This window comes from Homo sapiens, chromosome 15 (assembly GCF_000001405.40).
Source record: "Homo sapiens chromosome 15, GRCh38.p14 Primary Assembly".
NCBI lineage: Eukaryota > Metazoa > Chordata > Mammalia > Primates > Hominidae > Homo > Homo sapiens.
In genome coordinates this window covers 57,587,949-57,612,082 of record NC_000015.10, presented here as the reverse complement: position 1 = coordinate 57,612,082, position 24,134 = coordinate 57,587,949, and the positions used below count along the sequence as shown (strand labels likewise).

Sequence of the window (24,134 nt, the reverse complement as noted above, 5' to 3'; positions counted from 1 at the left end):
TGTACAACCTGTGTATCTATCTCAGCAAATTATTTGGCCCAGGTCATTACTCATACTTAACACTGTTTTGCTTTCTTGGACAAAAATGAACATTACCTCTGAGCCCAAAGGGCCTTTCCACAGCCTGGGAAATAAATATTCTCAGAAAAACTGAAACCTCTGGCTTATCAAAATACTTGGCCAGGCGCAGTGGTGTATGCCTGTAGTCCCAGCTACTTGAGAGGCTGAGACAGGAGGAATACTTGAGCCCAGGTGTTCAAGGCAATCGTGTGCTATGATTGCACCTGGGAATAGCCACTGCTTTCCAGCCTGGATGACATAGTGAGACCCTGTTTCTAAAAAATAAAACTAATTTAGTTATTTCTGACAGTCTCACAGACTGAATAGTGCCCATTTCCTAAGTAAACTCAGGAGAAAAGATCATTTTCAAAGCTTAAGATGAGAAGGAAAAGGAAAGCTTCTAGCCAAGCAGAAGTCCCAAAGAGAGTGGCATTTGTAATGATAGCAGCCTGATAGGAGTGCTAGCGTACCGCTAGTGCACAGCTTCCATGCAGACTAGTGTGCAGCTAGTACACAGCTTCAACGCAGACAATAGTTGCTTAGGCCTAATAACCCCCGCGGAAAAGGGAAGAATACACGGGAGAAAAAAAAATCAGGAACTGCTTTTCTGGAACCCAGGGGTATAGTACACACCTTCGGTAACCTTGACTGATAAAATGTAAATATCCTAAACAGAGTTTCTCTGATAGGAGAAGGCACGCAAGTCAATGTTCCCATGGCAACATGGCCCGTCACAGACCTGAGTTGGAATTGCAAATCCACTATCTACTAGCTGTGTGCCCCTAAGAAAGTTATTTTCTGTACTTTAAAGAGCTTCAGGGTCCTTAACACTAAAATGGGGATCATACCACCAATTTCAGTGGGCAGTCTAAAGAATACACAGAATAAAACACACAAAACACCTAGTGTGCTAATAGCATACTAGTAGATACTGGGAGTTTCTAGTATTGGTGGTGTGGTTTCTTTACATTTTTGAGTATATGGGTTCCTACTCAACTCTACATGTCTATCTGAATGAGTCTGTCTGTCCGTCCACCTTCTTCTTGGTCTTTTTGCTGTTCTCATTACAGTTGTCAAAGTGGCTCTGACAGCGAAATATTCACCCCCAAAGTGGCCTTGGTTTCTCTTCATGGGTAGTGAATCACAAAGTCTCAGAAGGTTAGAAAAATGGAAAAGAGTTGTATAGTCCAGTGGGTTTTCAGACACTATTCCCAGCTCCTCCTCCGTGTCTGACAAGGTTGTAGGGTGAAGAGTTGGGGGCCTGATGGAGGCAGCCAACATAGCCCTGATCTTATTTCAGCTCCACCCGCTGCACCTTGACTGCTTTACCAATAGAACTTCCACATTTATCAACGTGAATAAAGGAATGTTTGGAAAAACACTGGCTCTAGACTAACATTTCTATTTGCTAGAAGAAGCAGCAAAGACCCCTAGAGATGACCTGACTGGCCCAACCACCACAGGGGTTCATGAGGAAGCCGGGACTCAAACTCTAGGTCTCTCCCCATCCTCCAGGGGCTGTTATCTCTGAGGGGCACGCAGAGTCCCTGGTGTGCTGTCACAAAGGGCAGCCCGGCCCCCACCTGAAGCTCTGAATCATGGCAGCACACTCGCTCACTTGGCAACAGCCCGCGAGGTTGTATAAACAGTCACGCCAAGGACGAGAACTCAGCAGGCTTATTCATCCAAGGCTTTTAAAGGAAAGAGGACTATAAAACCTACTGGCAAGGACTTCCTCCTTTTCAACATTTTATTGGGTTATGAAAGTTCCCAACTCTACATCCATACCCACGCATCTGCTCTCTCTCTCACTCAGCATTCTCAAAGATCTAGAGAGAAAACAGCTTCTTTAAAAACAACAGGTCACTGAAGGACACCTCCAAAGCTGGGATGTTAATAGCTATTTAAAACGGTATCTGCCTCAAGCTATTTTATCTATTTGCAAAGGACTTTACCATCATAAAGACGCAGAATCAACTCAGATCAGATGCCCTAAAATTCAACTGTGCAGTGAGGCCCTGATTCAATATGCTAAGTCTGCAATAGCTGGTGTGGGTTCTGTCTGTGTGTGTGTGTCCCTGCATATACACATAGGAATCTGTTGCACATGACTATGGATAAGAATATGGATACATAAATTCAGAGAGTTCTTTGAAAACAACAGGTACTTAATTTCAAAACTATTACCAATTTTAATTTGAATGTTCAGCCTGTTTATAAACATTATATTCTACATTTATCAATTTCTCAACATGTAATTTGTGCCCACAAACTAATCAGCATCCTCCCTCCCATATTATTAATGATTTTTAATGTTCAATATTCAAATAAAAGCCCACAGCTAATTCATCTGAGTTGTTACTATAATTCAAGGTGATTTCCTCAAAGAACCTGTTATGGGTTGAAGAGTGTCCCCCAAAAAGATATGCTGGAGTCCTAACCTCCAGTACCTAGGAATTATATGGAGAGCAGGTCAAGTTAAGAGAAAGCCATCAGACTGGGCCCTATTGGTGTCCCTATAAAAAGGGGAAAATCTGGACACAGACACATGAAAATGCCATGTGAAAATCAGAGCGATGCTGCCACAAGGCAAGGATTACCAAGAGCTACCAGCAGCTGGAAGCGGCAAAGAAAAATTCTCCCCCTGGAGCCTTCAGAGGAGGCACCACCAGCACCTTGATCCCAGACATATGAACTCCAGAACCGTGACAGAATACTTTCGGTTATTGAAGCCATCTCGTTTTTCATGCTTTGCTGTGGCAGCCCTAGGAAGCTAATATAAAACTCAATCATCATAATCAATAAGCATTCATTAAGCACCTACTATGTGCAAGGCAGCCACCTAGGCTTTGGGAAGAGAGAATAAAAAGACTCAACCTCATTTCTCTGTGTGTGTGTATGTGCCTACATACATGTTATATACAAATTTTGCAAAAATATATATCTATACCTATGTGGAGTTCTTAGCAGCACGTGGCTAGGTGCCAAGTGAAAGGGGCAGCCTGGGTGTCCTGTAGGTTAAGGGAAGAGTGACCACCCCAGCACATAGAAGTCTGGGAAGTTATCAGAAAGGAAGTGGGCCTTTAGCTGAGCCTTCAAGGACAGGGAAGACTTAGATAAACTGAGACATGGCAGTGAAGGGACTCCAAGCATGGCTAGGGCCTCAGCAAGGGTTATGAGGAAGGAAGAGATGCTATGTGTTTGGAAAATAAAGACAGGCAGCTTCAGGCAGGAGAATAACTCCAGAAGGTCTAAGGGGGTAAAAACAAAGACCCAGGGCCACTGGCTTTGGCATTCAAAGGGAAGAGATTCAGTGTTTAGTCATTACCTCTTTAATCCATATTATAAACCGGACACTGTGGTGGGCATTTTGCATATATTAGCTTATTTACAATTTGAAACCAGGCATTGTTGTGTCTACTTTAAAGATGAGGAAGCTGTGCATTTGGGAGCTCATCTGTGGTCAGCATAAAGCAGTGTCGGGGCAGTTGATGTCTCCTGAAGGACTAAAAGGAACAGGCAGCCAGGGCATCTGCCTTAGGGATAGGAAACCTCCAAATACACCCCACAAACCCTTGACTCCATAAGAAGGTGCTGACTCTGTTGTAATTGCATCCAGCAGCCTCCAAACACACCTTTGTGGAAATGGGCAAAATACGCCATCCACAACACACCCACATTGGGAGCAATTCCTTTCTCCAATAACTGGAGAACAGCAAACGGAAGAATGGCCCAACTGGCAGCAGCCTCTATGCATGGCCAGCTGTCCCATGGCATCGTGGCATCCCCGCAATATTAAACACCTCCCAGAACAGTGTGAAAGACTAAGGAAGGCCCAGGCTGCCCTCATCATGTGCGGCTCTAACAGGGCCCTGGAAATCCTTGAGAAGTCTCACTGCAACAGAAGTCAATCGGGCCATTTACAACTTTCTACTCACATATCTGAGCCAGCTCCAATCCCCTGGCCTTTGCACACAGAAGAAGCCCCTTCAAAGGAACCAAAGTTACGTGACCAGGGAGGGTCATCCAGAGTTTTGGCCTCTTGCAATTCCATGGGTTCCAAGGAGGGGAAGCCATGTTGAAACCACATCCAAGGAAGTGGCCCCTACAGAGTCTCCCCGACAGTGCATGGCCCTGGCCCTCAGTGACTCATGCCAGGAACCTGGCCAGGACATGGTGACGAAATCACTCAGAGCAGCCTCCCAGTTACCCCTAGAAACTTCAAGGGCTGCCACCACCCAAGGACTTCATCCCTAGGGAAACAACAGCCCCACCCTCCTCCCCTCTACCCCAGTTCTTCTGCAGTGAGTCACCAATGTGCCACACATAGGCACTTAGACTGCACGCCTGGTCCACCTGGTGTAAGAAGTATCCTGGTGCATATGCTATCCCAGCAGTGCCTGTCCTGTGCTCCTCAGGGCCTTGGAGTTCTCAAGCAACCACAGGAGGGTGTCTGGGGGCTGAGGGGTAAAGGGAGACTGGGAGGACTTGGGCCCCCGTTAGTACCACTTTTGCTTGGTTTGCATATGAGGGCTCAGTAAAACATTCTGATTTTTTTTTAAAAAAGAGGGTCCTATTGACAAGTTTGAAAAGCACTATTCAAGCCAAATAGGCAAACTGACACACAATTTGTTGACTCCAGTTGACACAGCTAAACACACGAGGCTCCTTCCTTGGGATTACTTGATTCTTCTTCAGTGGTTACAGACCCTCCAGGGTCCTCCAGCCCCTACCACCCCAGTTTTGGCACTCAGAAACCTTTCACGAACATCTCCCAAGGCATGAAGCTTGGGTCTAACTCCAAAAGACTATATTCCCCAATTCCTCTACCGTCTGTACCAACAGGTACTGCCACCAGGCCCTTGTCCTGTCCCTCACTCCAGCTTAGGCCACTTCTTCAAAAAGTGTTCTAAGCAGCTCTGAGCACCTGGACACAGCCCAGACCCATGTCTTGGACCAAGCCATTAGCTCTAAAAGGGACAGGCAGGGAGAGGAGCAGTGAGGACAGAAGGGGACACTCCCTAGTGACAGATGGCCCCACTCAATCCTGCTCATCAGCAGGGGTGTAGCAGCTGAAGCCTGACCACTTCCACTCTCTGCTTAGGACTTTTACTCCCAAACTTTGTCTGTGGAGAATGTTCAAAGCTACACAGAAGCTGAAAGAGCCACTCAACTACATAACCATAGTACCATCATCACAAGAAAATTAACATTTATTCAATAATATGTAATATATAGTTCATATACAAAATTGTATAGTCATCCCAGTATATCTTTTATTTTATTTTATTATTATTATACTTTAAGTTTTAGGGTACATGTGCACAATGTGCAGGTTAGTTACATATGTATACATGTGCCATGCTGGTGCGCTGCACCCATTAATTCGTCATTTAGCATTAGGTATATCTCCTAATGCTATCCCTCCCCCCTCCCCCCATCCCACAATAGTCCCCCAGAGTGTGACGTTCCCCTTCCTGCGTCCATGTGCTCTATCTTTTATATAATTTTTTTTGCCACCATCTAATCCAGGTTCACTCATTACATTTAATGTTATGTCTCTTTAGTCTCTTATCTGCAACAAATTCTCATCTTTTTTAAAAATAACATTGAATTTATTGAAGGATTCAGGCCAATTGTTTTGCAGAATGTCCCACATTTTGGTTTTCTGTTTCCTTATTATTAGATTCAGTTAAACAAGTTTGGCATGAATATTACATATGTGATGTGCACCTCTTAGGTGAATCACCTCAGAAGTCATGTAACATCAGCTCGTTCCACTATTGGTGAAGTTAGGTTGGATCACTTGGTTGAAATGCTGGCTGCCTGCCTACTCCACTGTGAAGGTACTGTCCCTTTAGAATCAGTAATCCGCTGGGGTGATACTTTGAGAATATCCTACAATAATCTTTCACCAACTTATTTTTGCATCTATTGATGAGTATACCTGGAGGTTACAAAACAAAGATTTTCTAAACTTATTAGCTAGTGTTCTATAAAAAAAAGGGAGCCTTCCCTATTTTATCCTCTGATCTCGTGCCTCTACTCCCCTTCTCCAATTATCACTACAAACGTATGGATTTTTTTTAATATTCGATGTGTTATAAGCCATGACTGTCATTATTCTTTTTGATGCTCCAGCTGTTCCCATTTTGGCCAGTGAAAGCCCATTCAAACTGGCTGCTAGGTCCTTTACTAGGACCCCATTCATCTCTGAGTGAAACCTTATTTTCCAGAGGTCCCATATCCCCCTCATCTTTTCCCTTCTGCAACCCAGAACTAGCTGTTTTTCTGGATCTTTTTAGTGGAACTCATCCACTCTTTTTAGGCAGATCAGCAATTTTACTCCTCACCTTTCTCTAGTCAGAACTTCATTTGCTTTTCTCCCTACTTCCTTTCCCTGGCATTCATCATTTGCATCAGCACAGGCAGCTCTCTGTCCTTGGTAGAAAGTGGGGAGGAGAGGGCAAGGAGAGACAGAGACCTATGGTAAACTTAGGGACATTATCAAACACTTAGCCATCGATGAGAAGCTTTCTTTTTTATAGTTGACCACATTAGTGGTTAACTCTAAAGCAAGCTTGTATTTCAAGAGGTCACTATGTTATGACTCCATTTATGAAATTTATATCATTTTATTTTGTTTTACTTTATAATCATATAAAATACATGCTCAAGAAAAAGTACTGCCTACTTCCTGGCACCCCTACCCCTTCTTTTACTTTGTCTCCATCAGCACTTACCACCTCCTAACCTCTATAAAATGTACTTAATTATTTTGTTTACTTCCATTCTTGTCCCACTAGAATATAAGTTCCATGGATGACAGATTTGGTTTACTGCTTTGTTCCCTACTATATTCCCACTGTATACAACAGTGCCTGGAATACAGTAGGTGCCCCATAATTATGAATGAGTAAAATGGGTCGGCCAGGACCACAGGCCTAGAGGTCAGCAGGACCTCCTCTTTATCCTTCAAGCCTCCAACTTCACTGTCACCTCCCAAGCAGTCAGTTATTCCCTTCTCTGTGTTCCCAGATTCCGTCATATAGGGCTGGATCTTAACACCTGAAATATCACATCATCGTCTCACCCAGAAAACTGCAAATTCCCCCAAGGCAAGGACATACTTATCTTCACGGCCTCAGCACTTAGCACAGGAGCTGTCACAAAAATGTTTGCCGAATGCCTCCTACCCCCAGCCAAGAAAGTGCCCTTTCCCTGCACCAGCCTGCCTGCCAGCCTTTCCTCTCTTCTGCGGGAGCAGAGCCCCCGGCTGCTGCTCCAAGCTGCTGAGAAAGGTTCCAGCCCCGCCAGCTGCTCACAATAGGCCCTTTGAAGCAACTGGATTGGGCTGTTTCAGGAAAACCCACGTTCCCCGCCACAGCACCTGTCACTAAGACCAGTGTCCCTGCAGCTTCAAGGTAACACAAAGCCATAGTGTTCACCAAGAAACAAGAGCAGGGCACGTCGGTGGCAGAGCCGGCTAGGGAGAGCTCTCTGTCTTCTGGGAAGACGGGAGATGAGGTGGGAAGGTTGAGAGGGCCTTCTCCTCAACAGAGGTGCAGACACCCAGCCTCTGGGAATGGCCTGGTTAGGAGATGGGAGAGTGGGTTAAGGGTATAGAGGCTGGAACTTGTTGGGGCTTTGCCTCGGAGATACCTTACCTGCTCTTTTCTCTCAATCTTCTTTTCACATTGCTCAGGAACTGGACTCTCAGGAGGTACGGTCAGCCGTAGTCTGCAAACATTTGCCTAGAAGAGAGGGAAAGGAGAGGCCAGTTAGGAGTCAGCATTTGGGGCAGAAAGAGCCAGATGACCTTGGGCTTCTCACAGCCCATTTCCCCTACTTCCATTGGGGAACACTGTCCTGATCATACAGGAGCCATAGAGGAGATAAGGCCAGCCTTACCTTCACAGTACCAGGCCAGCCTGGTACAGCACAGGCACCCACCACCCTGGGGCTCAAGGAAGGAAACTACCAAATCACTTGATCTATTTCAAACATTTCTTTACCAATGGCTCAGTTTCCATAAGAATATGTATAGAATGATCTCATTTCACAAGTATAGGCAAAAATATAGTTACAGGGAAAGAAGCCAAAATATACACAGTGGATATCTCTATTGGGAAGGGAGGGTGCTTTCTACTTGCCTATATATTTAATTTTTCTACAATATACATGTACATGTTTAATCACAACTTTTTTTCAAAAAAGTCCATATACCCATGTTCATAGCAGCATTATCCACAATAGCCAAAAGGTGGAAGCAACCCAAATGTCCATTGACAGATGAATGGATAAACAAAATATTATTTATACATACAATGGAATATTACCCAATATTAAAAAGGAAGGAAATTCTGACACATGCTACAACATGGATAAACCTTGAAGACACTATGCTAAGTGAAATAAGCCAGTGGCAAAAAGACAAATACTGTATGATTCTACTTAGATGAGGTACCAGGAGTAATCAAAATCATAGAGACAGAAAGTGGAACTGTGGTGACCAGGGGGTAAGGATACAGGGAAAGTTAGTATTTAATGGGCATGGAATCCCAGCTTGGGAAGATGAAAAAAATCCTCGAGATAGATGGTGGTGCCAGTTGCACAACAGTGTGGATGCACTTAATGCCACTGAACTATACACTTAAAAAGGGTCAAAATGGTAAATCTCACAAGTACATTGCTACAATTTAAAAAAAAAAGCTGTCCCTGCTTGTTGGATACAGACTAAAAGTAAGACAGTTAGCTGGAAAGGCTTAGGAGAAGAAAATATAATGCTTATGAGTTTTGGTAAGACATCTGACTCCTTAATTAGCTATGTCACCATGAATATTTGTCACTAGTCACTGAGATTCTCACGTCAGTTTATTAAAGGCTGCCAAAAAATTTCACTGAAATATCGGATAAAGGTTCCTAAATGATTTTTTAAAGTCTAAATTGCACCATTTCTGTTAAAAATAAAAAAGCATTATACCACTCAGTGAGAGAAGCTACAATTTGTGTGATTTATCATATTCTGTTGACGAAGGGTGACTTAGGGGCAAAGTCATTTTCCTACTCAACAGAGGGAAAAATGGACTACTATAATCTGTAGTACGAGGGGACAATAACAGTAATAATAGTAATAGCTAACCATGTATAGGCATCTTCTAAGTGTTTTACAGGTATTTATTCATTTAAGCCTCACCACAAACCTATGGTAAGAGATTCTCTTACCTGCCCCATTTTTCAGATGAGGAAGCTAAGCCTCTGAAGGGTTACATGGCTGGGAAATGACAGAGCTGAGATTTGAACCCAGGCAGTCTCCGGGGCTTACTTTCTTAGCTCTTATACTCATGGTCCCCATCACATGCCTGAAATGCCATGTGGGCTCAGTTCGCGGGAGTGCTGTTGGCTCCCTAATATGGGTTGAATTGCATCCCTCTAAAATTCATCCATTGAAGTCCTGACCGCCTTCCTGGCATCTCAGAATGTGACCTTATTTGAAGAAAGGGTCTTTACAGAGGTAATCAAGTAAAAATGAGATCATAAGTGTGGCCCTAAATCAAAATGACTGGTGTCCTTATAAGAGTGGGAAATTTGGGGAGAGACACACATACAGGGCGATCATCATATAAACATTAAGACGACCCATCAACAGCCAAGGAGAAGGGCCTGGAACAGAGAGTTCCTTCACAGACCTCAGAAGAAACCAACCTTGCCAACACCTTAATTTTGGGCCACTAACCTCCAGAACTGTGAGACAAGAAATTTCTGTTGTTTAAGCCAATGGCGTTGTGGTAGTTTTCATGGCAGCCCTAGCAAACAAATCCTCTCCACCCCCGTCCCAGTCTGGTTGGCAGGTTCACAGATCTGCACTGGTCCACAGGGTGGCCTCTTAGCAAAACCACCCTGCAGCCTAGAAGCCCAGGGCTAGAGGGAATGTCAAAAATCTCTTGAGTTCAACCTGCCCACCTTTGAAGAAACCCAACACCCAAAAATGTACCTGACAGGTGGCACCAACCTGTTCATTTTCCATGAACAGGTTAGGGAGCCCAGGTTTGGGACCCATGTTAGCACTTCCACGTACACCATTGCCACCCTCCAAGGCATTGCATTTTGCTACCAGGCACCTCTAACTTGCTGATCTGAGCTTACACCAGAATTTCTACCTAATGGACCCAGGGTTGTCCTCGGACTGCAAACTAATTCCCCTTTTTCTAGGCAGTCCTCCTGTCCCTTGAACTTCCTTTCTTCTGGACGAAACAACCCCAGTTCTTTAAATCACATGACTTGGTTTCAAGATCCCTCTCCATCCTCATCCTCCTCTTGGCAAGCATCATCCCCCAGGGACCCCGGAATCAGATGTGGCCTGACCCCCAGGGCTATCATTGCCTCTTGTGGGGCCAACTTTACAAGCAACCTTCAAAGCTCACCGTCAGTCATGTTGGCCAAAAAGAAACCAAGCCATACTACCAGGTAGCTCTCTTTCCTGGTGGGCAACAACACTGATCTTGAGTAGGGAATCTTGAGTCCCTCCAGAGAAAGGCAACTCTCTGGCTCCAGGCCCCTCAGACTGGTTGAAACCAGTCTGACATTTGCACAAGCATCAAAGTGTAACTCAGACCACAGAGACAATCCAAACCTGTGGTGCTCAACAATCTCCTATTAGGCTGGGTCTAGTCCATGCATAATTCTGCAGGGAAAAGGAAGTCCTTTTCTCCTGCACCACATCACACACACACACACACACACACACAAGTGTGCACACACGTACATATATGCCTATCACACATACACACATACACAGGCTCCAACATCTACTAGCTGTGTGTCTACGGGAAAGTTACTTAATCTCTCTGAATCTCAAGGGTAAAATGGGATAAAGGGAGAGTGTCACATAGTAAGCCTCTATGAATATTAGATATTTTTATTTTTATTTGATTATTTATTTATTTTGAGACTGGGTCTTGCTCTGTCGCCCAGGCTGGAGTGCAGTGGTGTAATCATAGCACTGCAGCCTCAATCTCCTGGGCTCAAGTGATTCTCCGACCTCAGGCCCCTAAATAGCTGGGACCACAGGCATGCATCACCATGCCTGGCTAATTTTTTATTTTTTGTAGACACAGAGTCTTACTATGTTGCCCACATGGGTCTTAGACACCTGGGCTCAAGCAATCCTGTCTCAGCCTCCAAATGTGTTGGGATTTCAGGCATGAGCCACTGCACCCAGCCAGATATTTTTACTATTATCTAGATATTATCATCATCCTATATGCTTCAAAATGAAACAGACCTGCTTAGCCTCACAGTCCTGTTTCCATGAAAATAACAATTTGGTCAATGAATCAGAGACATTAACACTGTAAGTGATGACTTTCGGTTGGTTGATTATTTTAGAGGGGTAATCCTTAATGGTCATAATTTTCAGAAAGGGGGTCCCATGGGTCCAATCACTCAAAAGTTAGATGGTCCCTCCCCTGGCTTGAGCCCATTCTTCATCTGCCCATCTATATTCCTCAACACACTTCCTATGATGAGCTGGGCAACCCTTATATGAAGCTCTCACACTGAGCAATACCCTGAGGTATACAAAGCCACAAGGTAAACAGAATGCATAAAATAAAATGAACTTGTAAAATAAAACATATGACCTCAAAGACATTTGGCAGTTGCAGCAGGCGCTTGAGGCTACTGCAGCACCCTGTCTGAAGTTTACTCTTGTCAACAGAGGTGCTTTGATCAAAACATTAAGGAGCAAAGCTAGTTTTTCTTTAATAAACACTGACCCACTGATGGACTGGCTGTTCAGGAGCAATTTAAACCCAGCTTAGAACAGAATCACACATCTTCCTTACAAGATAGCCAAATGTATGGCCATGGGGAAGAAAGAAAGTTGCAGAACAAAACATTAAGAATAATCCCATTTTAATTTTTTAAATATACCCTGATAACTTGTGTAGATGTAGGCGGAAGATATTCTTAAGGAAACAGATTTCTGTGTTGGTGGCAACGATGTTAAGATATGTAAGGTTTTGATTAAAATAATAATAGTAGTTATAGTAATAACAAAGACTGGGAGAAAATATGTCGGGAAGAGACAGATCCAGAAAGAGACTAATCCTTCCACAGGACTGCTTCAGGAGCAGCAAGGGGGACATTCTAAAGGTCTAAAAGGTACTCTGAATCCCTAACAGAAGCACTAAGGACAGTAACCCCTGAACCACCCATAAAGTTGTCCGAGTACAGTCTACCTCCCTCCATTCATTCACCTTCCGCAATCTCCCCATGGGAAAATCTCCCCGAGTAACATCAAGGCAGCATTCCTTACCTCCGAGCATTTTACGAGGCTGATCTCCATGGTCTCCTGAAACTCGGATACACAATCTCCAGAGATGCCCCAGGCTTGGCAGTGCCTGAAAGGCAGGTAGGGCACTTTATTCCCAGGGGTTCCCAAAGCAGCTGGTTCAGGGCTTGTGTTATGCACAATGCGAAGAACTGCATCCTACCCTGAACACCACTGCTACCGAACCAGCTGTCCCTGGGGGCAAGGGTTCCTTCCAGGAGATCAAAGCAGGAAGCTGGACTCAGCATACTTTATTACTCAGTTACTGAGCACCTATTACTTGTGAAATATTTTTAGGGACTATGAGGGTACGACGATGGCAAAAAAAAAAAAAAATGCTGGCCTCCAAGGAGTACATAATCTAGAAATATACCCAAACAAGGCAATCAAGAACACTTGGAATAACCAATACAAGGTGTAGAGAGACAGGATAGCTTTGTGGTTAAATCATAGTGGAAATGTACTTCCTGGCTTCCAGTATTGGTTCTGACACCTACTAGCTTTGAGACCTTTGGAAAGCCACTTAGTCTTCAGTGCTTCCATTACCCTAGTTGTAAAAAGAACTAACAATACTATACCCTCTTAGGAATGTTGTGAGGATTAAATTAGCTAATGTGTGTAAAGAGCTTAGGACAATTTCTGGCACGCATTAAGCACTCTGTAAACATTCTTTATTATCATGGGAATATAGGAAGAAGAACACTAATCTTAATGGGAGGTGGGAATATATGGGAAAGTCCCTCAGGAAGGACCCTCGGGATACAATTTAAGCTGGGTATAGAAGGACAGAAAGGACTTTACAGGTCAGTGAGGTTTGGAGAACCCACCATCATAACAACAGCAGACAGCTATCAGGCAAGGCGTTCTAGTCTGTGCCAAACACACAGATGTCGGCAAGTTCCAAGAATAAGAACCTGCAGCCTAAGCCTGGGTAGGACAGGCAAATGGACAAACAGATAGGGGCTGAACTATCAATCTACAAATGCATGATAGAGAAGCACTGGCTCTAGTCAGAAGACAATGAGGAGTCATTCAAATCTTTGGAGGAAGAGACTAACATTCAAATCTGAGTTCATTTCAATAATCCAACTGGTCATTTTTCAGTGCCTCCAGTGTTCCATGCACCACACAATGGACGGAAGGGAAAACATAGGGGGAGTGATCAAGTAAGCTTTGTACCGTCACCACTTAATATAGCCCCTACGGTGCTTAGCATAGTATCAACACATGATGGGCGCTCGCTCAGTGTTGGGTTTTGTAGTTTTTTCTAGGTTGAACTAAAACAAAGTAAGAATATACCTGAAACTCCCTGGAGTGCCTTGCACTTTCTTGAAACCAACCCCCCTGGGAAGGATAGCAAGGGAGGGACAGGTAGCATTCAGGTTTCCTCCACAAGAAAAAGCACAACAAAACCCTTTTTGGCAACTCAGGGCCCCTGGGGAGCTACATGGGTCCCCTCAGGCCTTGTTTCTGACCCTTTTGTGGAGATGAGGGCCTGGGTCTCACCTACGGGGTACTCTGCGGATCCAGTAACATCATGCTCTCAACTTCAGGCACCTTGGCTCACCCAGGGGAAAAATATCTATCTCAAATAAAAAGGGAGTGGAGAAGATGATTCAGGGAGGTGACAGGGGTTTGCCAGTTTACAAAGATGGATTTCCCTAAGGAAATTAGCCAAGTGCATTTACATTTCTCTCAGGCCTGTTCCACTTTGTGACTGTGGGTCCCTGCCCAGCTCCCCTTAATGATAAAAGGTGGGGCCCTTGTAAGTGTGGCTAGGGGGAACAGACCCCACACTCTCTGCTCAGCACAAGGATCAAATCCCAGGAGCCTGCAGCAGGCTGCATGCGGAACAGTGTATGCCCCATCTAGATTAGACCTCTTGGCTCTGCTGTGGCCCTGAACTTGCAGCCCAATTATCTACATCAGGGTGGGGCGAACTTTTTCTGTAGAGAGCCAGACAGTAAATATTTAGGTTTTGCAGGCCCCTGTGAAAACCATTCTTAGCTCAGAGGCATACAAAACATTCCTGCTTTCTGTGGCTGTGTTCTGTACTAGGCACACAATGTGCCCCAAACGCCAAGATCCAGAGAGAAAACACAGGTGGATGAAGGCACACAAAGATGCCAGTGTGACTTGGAGTGCGAGGACTCCCCCTCCCTGCCCCATCACCACCCTGCCCTTCATCCCACAAGGCTCAAGGGACCTTTCTGCAACACTGTCCCAGGAGTGTCTGCATTTCCAAGAAAGCTATAGAAGGGAGTAATGCTTAAAGAAATATTGTTAGCCTTGCTGCACATTAGAATCGCCTGGGAAGCTTCCTAAAAAATACTCATGCTTTTCTGTACTTTAAGATGTTCCCATTTAATTGGTTTGGGATGAGGCCTCGACATGGCTATTTTAAGCCTCCCAGTGATTCTGTGTATAACTGGTTGAGAACCACTGACTGAACCAAAGGGATGAAGCTCCAACTGTGCAGCAGGATGAGGCAACTCGAATATTTGGAGGACTTCCCAGAACTGTCAACCTCCTCACCTGGGCCAGCATTCCCATGTATTTGTCACCCGTTTCCTGCCCAGGTGGGTCAGAAGTGATGGGATGGATTTAACCCAAGGCTTCTCTTCCTGTTTTTCCATTTGCCAATTCAATGTTAACTGTGGCTCCTCTACGTAGGACCTGGTGAGATTTCTGTTTTTAACTGCCTATTCCACCAGGCCTGGGGAGGGGTGGTTCCTAAGCCCTGTCTTCCAGTAGGTAATCACAGGTGACGCAAGTAATGGTGGCATGCACAGGCCTCTAGGGGAACACGAGAAGGAGGGTTGAGGTTTCAGGGCAGGCTTCCTAGAGGAGACAACACTCATCAGAGGAGAAACATGAAGAAAAGCAAAGAGGCAAGGAACGGCATCGAAAGCTCGGGGAAATGGCAAACGATTTGGAATATCTGAGAAGACCACATATAGGGAGGGGAAACAGCACAGGCACGGGCCAAACCAGAGGGCCTGGATGCTACACTAAGGAGTGTGAACTTTTTCCTGGCAGTACTGAGGAGGCTCTTGAAGCAGACGAGTCAGGAGACTAGATTTAGCATTTTAGAAAGATCACCCCGGCCTTTAAGAGTGAAAAAGAGCCAGGAGTGTGGTTGACACTTAGGAACTATCACTCACCAAAGAGGGAAAGAGGTAAACACCACTGTATTGCTCTTCTGTGTGCTGGAGAAGTACTGGAATTCCGTAAGACCATAAGGCATGATGAGTGCTGAGAAGTATCTTGGGTTGAAATATTTAACATGGTCTCTAGTTAGTCAGCCCTGGGCCCACAGCTCCTTGAACTCAATTAGACAAGAACATTTGAGGCTAATTGACTTCAAAGCCTTCCCCAGTGACCAGGGCTTAGTGACACCAGCCTCCAGGTCTCTTGTTCAGATATGGATGCACAGCATAGGTAAACTACAACAGGGACCTCATACGCAGCACTCCATCAGTGCCCCCAGAGACAAATGGGTCAAAATCACATTCCATATCCTTTGTAGAAAAGCCATGGGATCTCCATAAATGTCTAGGGGAAATCAAGTTTCCTTACGAGTCTCCAGAATTCAGGTCTGTTCATCCTCTATCAAACAAGGCAATGTGAAAGATCAAAAGCATAGAGCTGGGCACCTCTTTTTCTGAGCCTACAACCATCATTTTTGACCGGCACAGGTTTAAGCCCTGCCCTTAGCCCAGAGGACGCCTTGGTTCCAAACCCTCACAACTTAGCCCAGTCAGGCAGCAATGGGACATGGGAGAGGGACACATTAGCCAAGGAACAATGACTAGCAGGCCCATTCCAGTGTTTAACAGAGGAAGCCTTTGCCAAATAGAAAGAAATATCAGCAAGGGCAGGCTAGGAGATAGTCCTATCCTGTGACCTTGTTGGGTTTTGTTTTTTCTCTGTGCCAGTGACGGGTCACGATAGCAGCAACACCAGCCAACAGTCTTTTATTATCAAGAGAGCAAGGTGCTGGAGAAGATCCTTGACAGATCTATCATTCCACAGCCCAGGATCAGAACAGCTTAGCCAAAAATACTCGGCAGTAAGTATTGTGCCGAAAGGTCAGTTGTGTGACCCGGTTGTGTGCTTTGTGGGGAAGCCATAAAGCAACACATGCCTTCCCCGCAAAGCACACGACCCAGCCACACAACCAACCTTCCATTTCAAAGGCCCATTTAGCAAGACTAACTGGCATTTATAAAATTCCTTTCAAAAGCATGAAGCAAGGTCAATATTTTTAAAATCGTTTCCCCCCATTCCCCAAGGTCATCTTCTGGCTGTGGTTATTCTCCAGTCAATTTGTCTTCCTGCTGTTGCCATAGATAAAACTATTTTTAGTGCACAACTGGTTTGAAGGAAGTTTTTTTAATTTCACAACTTCTGCTGGTTGGCATCCATAAATGCCTTTCAGAGCTTTGTTTATCAGCTGACAGAAATTACTCTCTCCACCTGTTGGTTTTTTTTTCCTTGAGAGGTGATTTCAGATAAGAAGGAAATACAAATTGCAGGTGGCAGCCATTGAACAAAGGCTAACTGGTGGCAGTCCAGCCAGCCACATAACCCTTGGCAGCTGGCTCGCAGGAGTCCCTGCTCAGTGTCAGCTGTCACCACCACTTCTGGTTGGCTTGAATATCTGGACCCACATAGGCTGGTTTCCCCTGCAGTACCCAATTTGATGAGCTCTTTGGATGAACCAGAAATACAATTTTAATGGATAACATGTTCAAGACCATCACTTGTCCATCATCAGAGAGGAATAACAGAACAATACAGTATTTGCTGAACAACTTTCAATGAAAGGTACACTTCCAATGATTATTTGGTCTACAATTTTACTTTCAGGACATCCCGTTCCTGCTTTTCTAAACAATAGGTATTTTGTCCCAAAGCAGGTCCAATTTGCCATCATGATAAAGTAGTCATGTGTCACTTAACCGTGGAGATGCACTCTGAGAAATGCATCATTTGATGATTTTTGTCGTTGCGTAATCATCATAGAGTGCACTTACACAAACCTAGATGGTATAGCCTACCACACACCTAGGCGATATGAGATAGCCTACCATTCCAACCACCGTCATATATCCTGGCTACTGTTGACCAAAATGTGGTTATGCAGTACATGATTATATATGCCAAGTATTCCATTGAGATGGTTATTTCCTCCTTTCAGTATCCCAATAATGTCAATTCCCCTACAAATTCTACTCATCCTGCAAGATTAAACTCAAACATCACCAGTAGGCGGGGCTGGGTGGCTCATGCCTATAATCCCAGCACTTTGGGAGGCCGAGGCAGTTGTATCACTTGAGGTCAGGAGTTCAAGACCAGGCTGGCCAAGATGACAAAACCCTGTCTCCACTAAAAATACAAAAATTAGCCAAGCATGGTGGTGTGCGCCTGTAGTCCCAGCTACTCGGAAGGCTGAGGCAGGAGGACTGCTTGAACCTGGGAGGTGGAGGCTGCAGTGAGCCGAGATCGTGCCATGGCACTCCAGCCTGGATGACAAAGTGAGACTCCATCTCAAAAAAACATACCTTTAGTGAGAGGCCTTCCCCTGATGCCTCAGGAAGAACCTTTATTTTAGCTTCTACAGAACTTTGTAAACTCTTCACCCCACTATAACCATCACCACTTTGTTTGATGTTAGTTTGGGAAAATGTCTGCCTCTACAGGTAGGGCGGACCCCAATGCCAGCCCTTTACCACACAGAGAAAGGTTTATGAATGTTCAATAAATCAATTAATCAACATCTCACAGCTTCCCACCACACACACAATCCCCAGCACACACACAGATAGTACTTGTAACATCTGCAAATCATGAGCAGAGCTAGAAACCATAAAGATGGGCAGAACCCTAGACCCTTTAGATACCTTCCTTCCAGAAACAAGTACCAGTGTACCCAGGACAGCCCTGAATGGCCTGATCCCGAGCCCTGAGTTCTCCAGTCCAAAATACGTCTGCCATCTTATTCAAAAGGCAAAGTCTTTTCAAGAGTGTCACAATGTGTCCGACAGCAAAGCACCTATAATTAAATAAATATTCCAAAGGAAACGTTTGACCCAAAATCTTCAGAAATGTTATTTGTATACTAGTCACATTTGTATCAACCCACCGTATTAGGTTAGGTACCCCAACTAATCCCCACCTCTGGAAGGGAAGTTACAGAGAATTTCATGCAATTCATGCAGTCTGGTCACACATATGATCCTCTCAGGGCTCAGGGTTAGCTTTTCAGTGACTTCATTCTTTCTCAGTTGCAATTGTGTTCAAATTGAGAAAGATTTCCATAGAAAAATACAAACACCCAACTTAGAGTAAGGCCAGGACTGTGGTTGGAAACCCCCTTGGACCCAATGTAGATCTTACTCTATGATGCTAATGATTGGACAACTGGAGTTCTGTCAACCTTGGGCATGAGCCAACTGATGGATTCTGGGGTGTGTGTGTGTGTGTGTGTGTGTGTGCGCCTGTGTACACAACCTAAGTGTCTGGTGAGTGCACGCACACACACACCCCAGAATCCATCAGTTGGCCCATGCCCAAGAGTAACACACCTTTCTTCTAGAGCTAAGAAAGACAGCTTATAAGGTGACCACCATCACTCGCTTAAGGCATGTAAAAGCAAATAAGCAGGTCCAAGCCTGCACGCAGACAGAACCAGTGGGGGTTTTGCTTTGGACTTAACCACCTGTTTAAATCTTGAGGAAACACGATTACAGAAGTCTCAATCAGAGCAAAGAGGTACCAAATGATAAGTATTGAACATCATGATAAATGGAAGAACTAAAAAGCCACAAGCCAAGCCCCTGGCTGTGGCTCTAAGGTGCTGACCGTGTTAGAAAGATGGAGCATTTCTTTTACAGAGCATCTGGAGAGATGGGAAAAGATGCCACAAAGATCAAAAAGAAACAGCACTTCCAAAGGGAAACCTTCCCTGGAGATGCTGTCCCAAGCTTTCAGTGCTGCCATTGTTGTCACTGTGCTAATATTTAAATCAGACAGAAGAAAGTGGTTTACATAAACCGGAGTCCCACACAGTCGGGCTCCTGGGCGGCCGGCTGCTGTTCTGGTTTGCCCACCTTGGCTAACCCCACTCCAGAATTACCCTATCACTAGTGGATACCCTATCACTAGTGGACACAAGTGACCCCATCTTTCTTTTAATTAATGGAAGAAGGAAAGTTTGAGTTTTAAATACATTCATTACTTTTGAGTCTCAAGGTAGGGACACTGCACAAATGTCTTCCTTCATTTTTAAACTGGTGCCGCCAATAAACTCGGCTTGACAGAAAGGCAGGAAGGAGAGGAAATCTCTGGGAATTCCATAAAGTCCCCTAAGCCCTCTCCTACCAGCTGGTGGGCCCCCTGAAACCTCAAGCGGGAGGGTCACTGCCAGAGCCGGCACAGGACCGGGGAGTTGAGCCCAGGGTGGGGCGTCGGGGCCAGGTGCTGGCTCCCGAGCTTTCCCATCCCTAGTCCCCTCTAGAGGGGGCGGCCGGGATGGGGGAACGGGACGGCGGCGGCTCCCGCCCCCGCTACTCACCCTCCTGCTGGGCGCCCCGGGCGTCCTGGCGGCGCCGCCCGAGAGCAGGGTGACCGTGGACGTGGAGCGCAGCATCCCGCAGCGGCGGTCGGTAGCGGGCTGGACGCCGGCGTTCCTCCCGGGCAGAATAAGCGTGCGGGGCCCGCCCTGCGCGGGGGCGACGCGGGACGGCGCCGGCTACTTGCAGCCTCAGCTGCACCGCGAAGGCCCGGGGGTGGGGCCGGGGGCGGGGCCGGGCCGGGCCGGGGCGGGGCCGAGCGCGCTCACCCGACCCGTCAGGCTGCATTTTCTCCCGAGGGCGCCGACCCGGTTAAAGTTGAGCACCATCCTCTCCCAGGGCGCTGCGCCCTCCCAGGGTCAGTCCCAGGGCAAGAAGGAGCCCTGGACAGCCTGGACGCCCATGCTCTCTCTGTCCCCCGCAGAGTTGAGATCCACCTGCCCATTCAGTCTCACGACCTACCCCCACCCCGGACTGCCCCCTACAGCCTCTGCACGCCCTCGTATCACTGGGACCCTCACCCCATGTCATTCATTCAGTATTTCCTGAATGCCTATTATGCGTCCCCACCAGCAGCCAACCCAGTCGACTGGCTGTTGGCCTCGGAGAGTTTGCAGTGTGGTGGGGATGACAGGTGCCGGGCTGTGGTAGAAGAGGAGATACCATGTACTAAGGGAGCACACAGCCAACCTCAGAGGAGGTGATGACTAAGCTAAGACCTGAAATGCAAGTAGGAGTGGGCCACACTGCCCATATTTATTCAATGATTACTGTGGGCCTGCCTGGCGAGCACTTTGCGTGTGTTACCTCATTTAATCCTCACCATTGCCCTTTGAGGGAGTCACTGTTGTTACCTTGTATCCCCATTTTGCAGATGAAGACGCTGACTCACCTAGGGATTGAGCAACACAGCAGGCGACCCACTGGCCTCTCAGTGGCAAAGGTAGGATATGAATCCCCCAGTCCGACCCTAGTGCCTTGCTTGTCCCCTCTGCTGTCCCCTAACAGAGGGAGGAGGGAGTCCCAGGTCAAAAGAACTAGCATGCACAAAGATGGAAGGAAAGCAAGGGAAGGTATAAAATATGTTTCAAGAATTGGAAGTATCACAGTGCAGTGGGAAAACAGTGGAGAAGCAGCGGAAGGGAGCTGAGGACATCATGAGGAACCTGTGTGCTTAGCTGGAAATTTGGCCTTTATCTTGAGGACAAAGTGTTTTTCAGCAGGGAAAGACACAATCTCTGTCTTCAAAGCCCAGGTCAAGCACTGCCTCCCCACGGAGCTCTCCAGAAACCCCTTCCCCAAACACGCATGCTCAGGAACTTAGCAGCTCCGCGGGACCCTGTCTTCTGTTAGAGTTATCTATGTGTGTGCCTGTACCCTGTCCTTCTGGAGGGCAGAGGCCAGGCCTTGACCCTCTCTGAATGCCCAATGGCACCAACAGGGAAGATGCTGAAAAAAAAATGTTGCTAAACAGAATTACAGATGATCCTGTGGAACTCACTCCTTTTGTAGATGAGGAAACTGAGGCCGGTGTATACAAGTGACTTTCCCAAAGTTGCACAGCCTGTTCTTCACCATCCTCATCGTCATCCTCACAGTAGCTGTGCTTGTGTCCTAAGTGCTTTATATGCATTTTCTCAACCAATTCTCACAATGCCCCACAAGGTGGGCTACAGTTATCGCCCCTGTTTTGCAAATGAGGAAACTGAGGCCAGAGACATTAGGTTAATTGGTGAACAGCTGAGACTACACATCTAGTCTTCTAACCCAAGTCCTTCTGCTTTTCTGCTACACTCCTCTCTGCATCCTCCCATCCACCTATCCCTTCCAAAAAGAAAATTGTTCATGACAGGTTCCTTCCCATTCCACTTCCACGAAGCCCTCTAATCTACCCAAGTCTTTTTCATATTGTTAACATCCTATTCACACGGTGTTATATTTCTTTACAAAAGCAGCAGACAGCTCACTAGCTTGTGAGCTCTGTGTAGAAGCTGGATCTTGTTTACATCTCTGCCTGTCCAATATCTAGAGCAGGTAATTGACGTGTGGTAGTGCAAGTAAATGTGGAAAGAATGAAGAAATGTTATTACAGAGTAAGATTTCAACTCACTCATGGTCATGAAAAACAGAAACTAAGATCCTTGCCAACCCAGCTCCTAGGGTGGGCCAGGGACTCCAAGCAATTTGGCAGCTGAAGCAACAAGAGCCCCAGGGTTGTCCCAGCCAGGCCATTTCCCCAAAGCTGGCTGACAATCGCCAAGGGCTGTGGGTGGTGTGTCCAGGCAGATGCCAGGCCCTGGCTTATGCCACAGCTCCTCCCTAATAGGCCAGCACTAGGAATCTGAGGTCATAAGGAACTGCAAGAGAGAGGAGAGTGGGGAGCCCAGAAAGTGGGAAAGAAGGAAAATGGGAAGACAAGTAGGACTGAAATCAATGGAAAAGTGGATCTAGAGTGGAGAGGAAAAAGTAAAAAATGAAGTCACAGTCACTGGTTTCCATTAATATTTCTGAGAGAAGATGATTTTTAAAAAAAGATGGACTCTTTTCAAAAGAGGAATCAAAAGCTGAGAACTTCTGCCCAGTCAGCAGTCCTCTGGAGTCTACAGAACTGAGAGTGGGGAAGAGGGCCAATGGGAGGGGAACAGGGATAAGGGTCTGGTGTAGAAGTTCTCCACATTCCCTTGCAACATGACTCATCTACTCCAGACCCTCTGAGCATTGGTGATGAAGGGGTTGCTAGTGTTTGGGCTGGAGAGAACGGGAGCTATGACAAAACTGTCTTAGCTGTCATCCTTTTCTATCCACAGAAATAGCCACATAGGCCTAAGAGCAGTCCTGAATTTCTCTGCTAAAGCACAGGTGTGTAGAAAATTCCAGATGTCTGTATAAGCACCCTTCATTTTCTTGTAATCAGTTACTGAATTTTACCTCCTTCTCCCATCCCAGTTCCTAGAATTATCTTTCATATCCTCTAGGTCTCTGCTTCTGAATTGTCTTTGTTGCTTTCTGCTAAACTCTTTCCAAATTCCATTGGCATCTTTAGTTGAGAGGCTTATGATAGGACCCTTTTCTCCAGCAAAGTCCTGAGCAGCAATGACTCATTATTTCTTGCACAAATGATCAAGAGTTAAATCACTGGACAAGAGCACACAGTAGATGAACCCAAGCAATTCTGGCCCTCCTGATATTTCATGCCCTCTTCACTCTTATATCTCTGAAGCTTCTCTTTCTTTCTCTCCCATTCAGCTGCGACAGCATCCCGAAGTCCTGGCATATTCTCCCATTCTGCATGCCAAACAGACCAAACTTTCACAATAGAAAAAGGACACATTTCCAACCAAGGACAAGGGTAATACATTACAAAGCCCCTTTGGATAAAGTAGAACAAGAAACACCCCATATTCACAGGTTGTCCGAGAAACAGGGAATGGGGCCTAGAGATAAGAAAGGCAGGCTGAAAGGAACCCAAAACCCCAGCCAAGTCATCCAGATACACAGCAGTTATAGGCCTGTCTAGACACAAGGGCTGGAACCACTTGCTGATCCACCCTGGGGAATACAAGCTCATTGGAAATCATTCTGTTGTCTCGCCAGTTAACCCAGTGAACCAACAGGCAACTGGCAGAGTAATAATAAGCCAATTCATGGAACAAATATGTACCAAGCACCTACTGTGTACTGAGCACTGGGGACTGAGGTGAGTAAGACAGCCCCTGTCTTCTAGGAGTTCACAATCAAACCAGGAAGAGAGATGTGCACTTAGCAAATAAAATGACAGCTAACACTTTTATATGGCACTTACTGAGTTCACAAAGCTTAAAATGCATCAACACATTTAACTGTCGCAGCAACTCAGTGAGGAAAGTAGTATTATGTCCCTTACTTTGCAGATGAGAAAATGGAGCGGCAGGGAGGTTAAGTAACTTGCCCTTGGTTCCAGCACTAGTAAGTGGTTAAGCTAAGCTTCAACCCCAGGCAAGATGGCTCCAACATCTGCATACTTGACAATTCACCTCCTCTACTGGGATAGGGGCCAGATTTGAGGTGTGTCCAGAGCACTTATGGTAGGCAGGAGGGAAGCTGCTTGGGCAGAGAACAGTGAAGGCTTCCCTGGGAAGGTGGCATAGGAGTTGTTGGACACGAAGAATGAGGAGGAAAAGGTA

The 24,134-nt window shown here is 45.9% G+C and overlaps 2 protein-coding genes across 10 annotated transcripts in view, besides 2 other annotated features; both read right to left on the bottom strand.

The window, feature by feature from the left end:
• The window catches only part of GCOM1 (GCOM1, MYZAP-POLR2M combined locus), a 125,654-nt gene extending 105,475 nt beyond the window's left edge, over window positions 1-20,179 (bottom strand). For all 8 annotated transcript variants that reach the window (NR_104367.2, NR_104368.2, NR_104369.2 and 5 more), the window contains exons 1-2: window positions 19,974-20,179; window positions 7,728-7,814 (exon numbers count right to left, since the gene is read on the bottom strand). Coding sequence is in view for 3 of the 8 variants with exons in the window: in NM_001285900.3 (NP_001272829.1) it covers window positions 7,728-7,814; window positions 19,974-20,048 (162 nt within the window). In the remaining 5 variants the exon portion in view is untranslated. The remainder of the gene's footprint in view (window positions 1-7,727; window positions 7,815-19,973) is intronic.
• The window catches only part of MYZAP (myocardial zonula adherens protein), a 93,461-nt gene extending 73,282 nt beyond the window's left edge, over window positions 1-20,179 (bottom strand). For both annotated transcript variants that reach the window (NM_001018100.5, NM_152451.8), the window contains exons 1-2: window positions 19,974-20,179; window positions 7,728-7,814 (exon numbers count right to left, since the gene is read on the bottom strand). In NM_001018100.5, coding sequence (NP_001018110.1) covers window positions 7,728-7,814; window positions 19,974-20,048 — 162 coding nt within the window. In that variant the 5' untranslated portion in view covers window positions 20,049-20,179. The remainder of the gene's footprint in view (window positions 1-7,727; window positions 7,815-19,973) is intronic.
• Window positions 7,413-7,987: an enhancer, noted in NCBI's record as "H3K27ac-H3K4me1 hESC enhancer chr15:57896294-57896868 (GRCh37/hg19 assembly coordinates)". NCBI's record gives its function as "activates a minimal SCP1, AML or CMV promoter by ChIP-STARR-seq in primed H9 embryonic stem cells {active_cell/tissue: H9 hESC(primed)}" and the evidence as "EXISTENCE:reporter gene assay evidence [ECO:0000049][PMID:30033119]".
• Window positions 20,181-20,290: a silencer, noted in NCBI's record as "silent region_6473". NCBI's record gives its function as "represses an Ori minimal core promoter by ATAC-STARR-seq in GM12878 lymphoblastoid cells {active_cell/tissue: GM12878}" and the evidence as "EXISTENCE:reporter gene assay evidence [ECO:0000049][PMID:35858748]".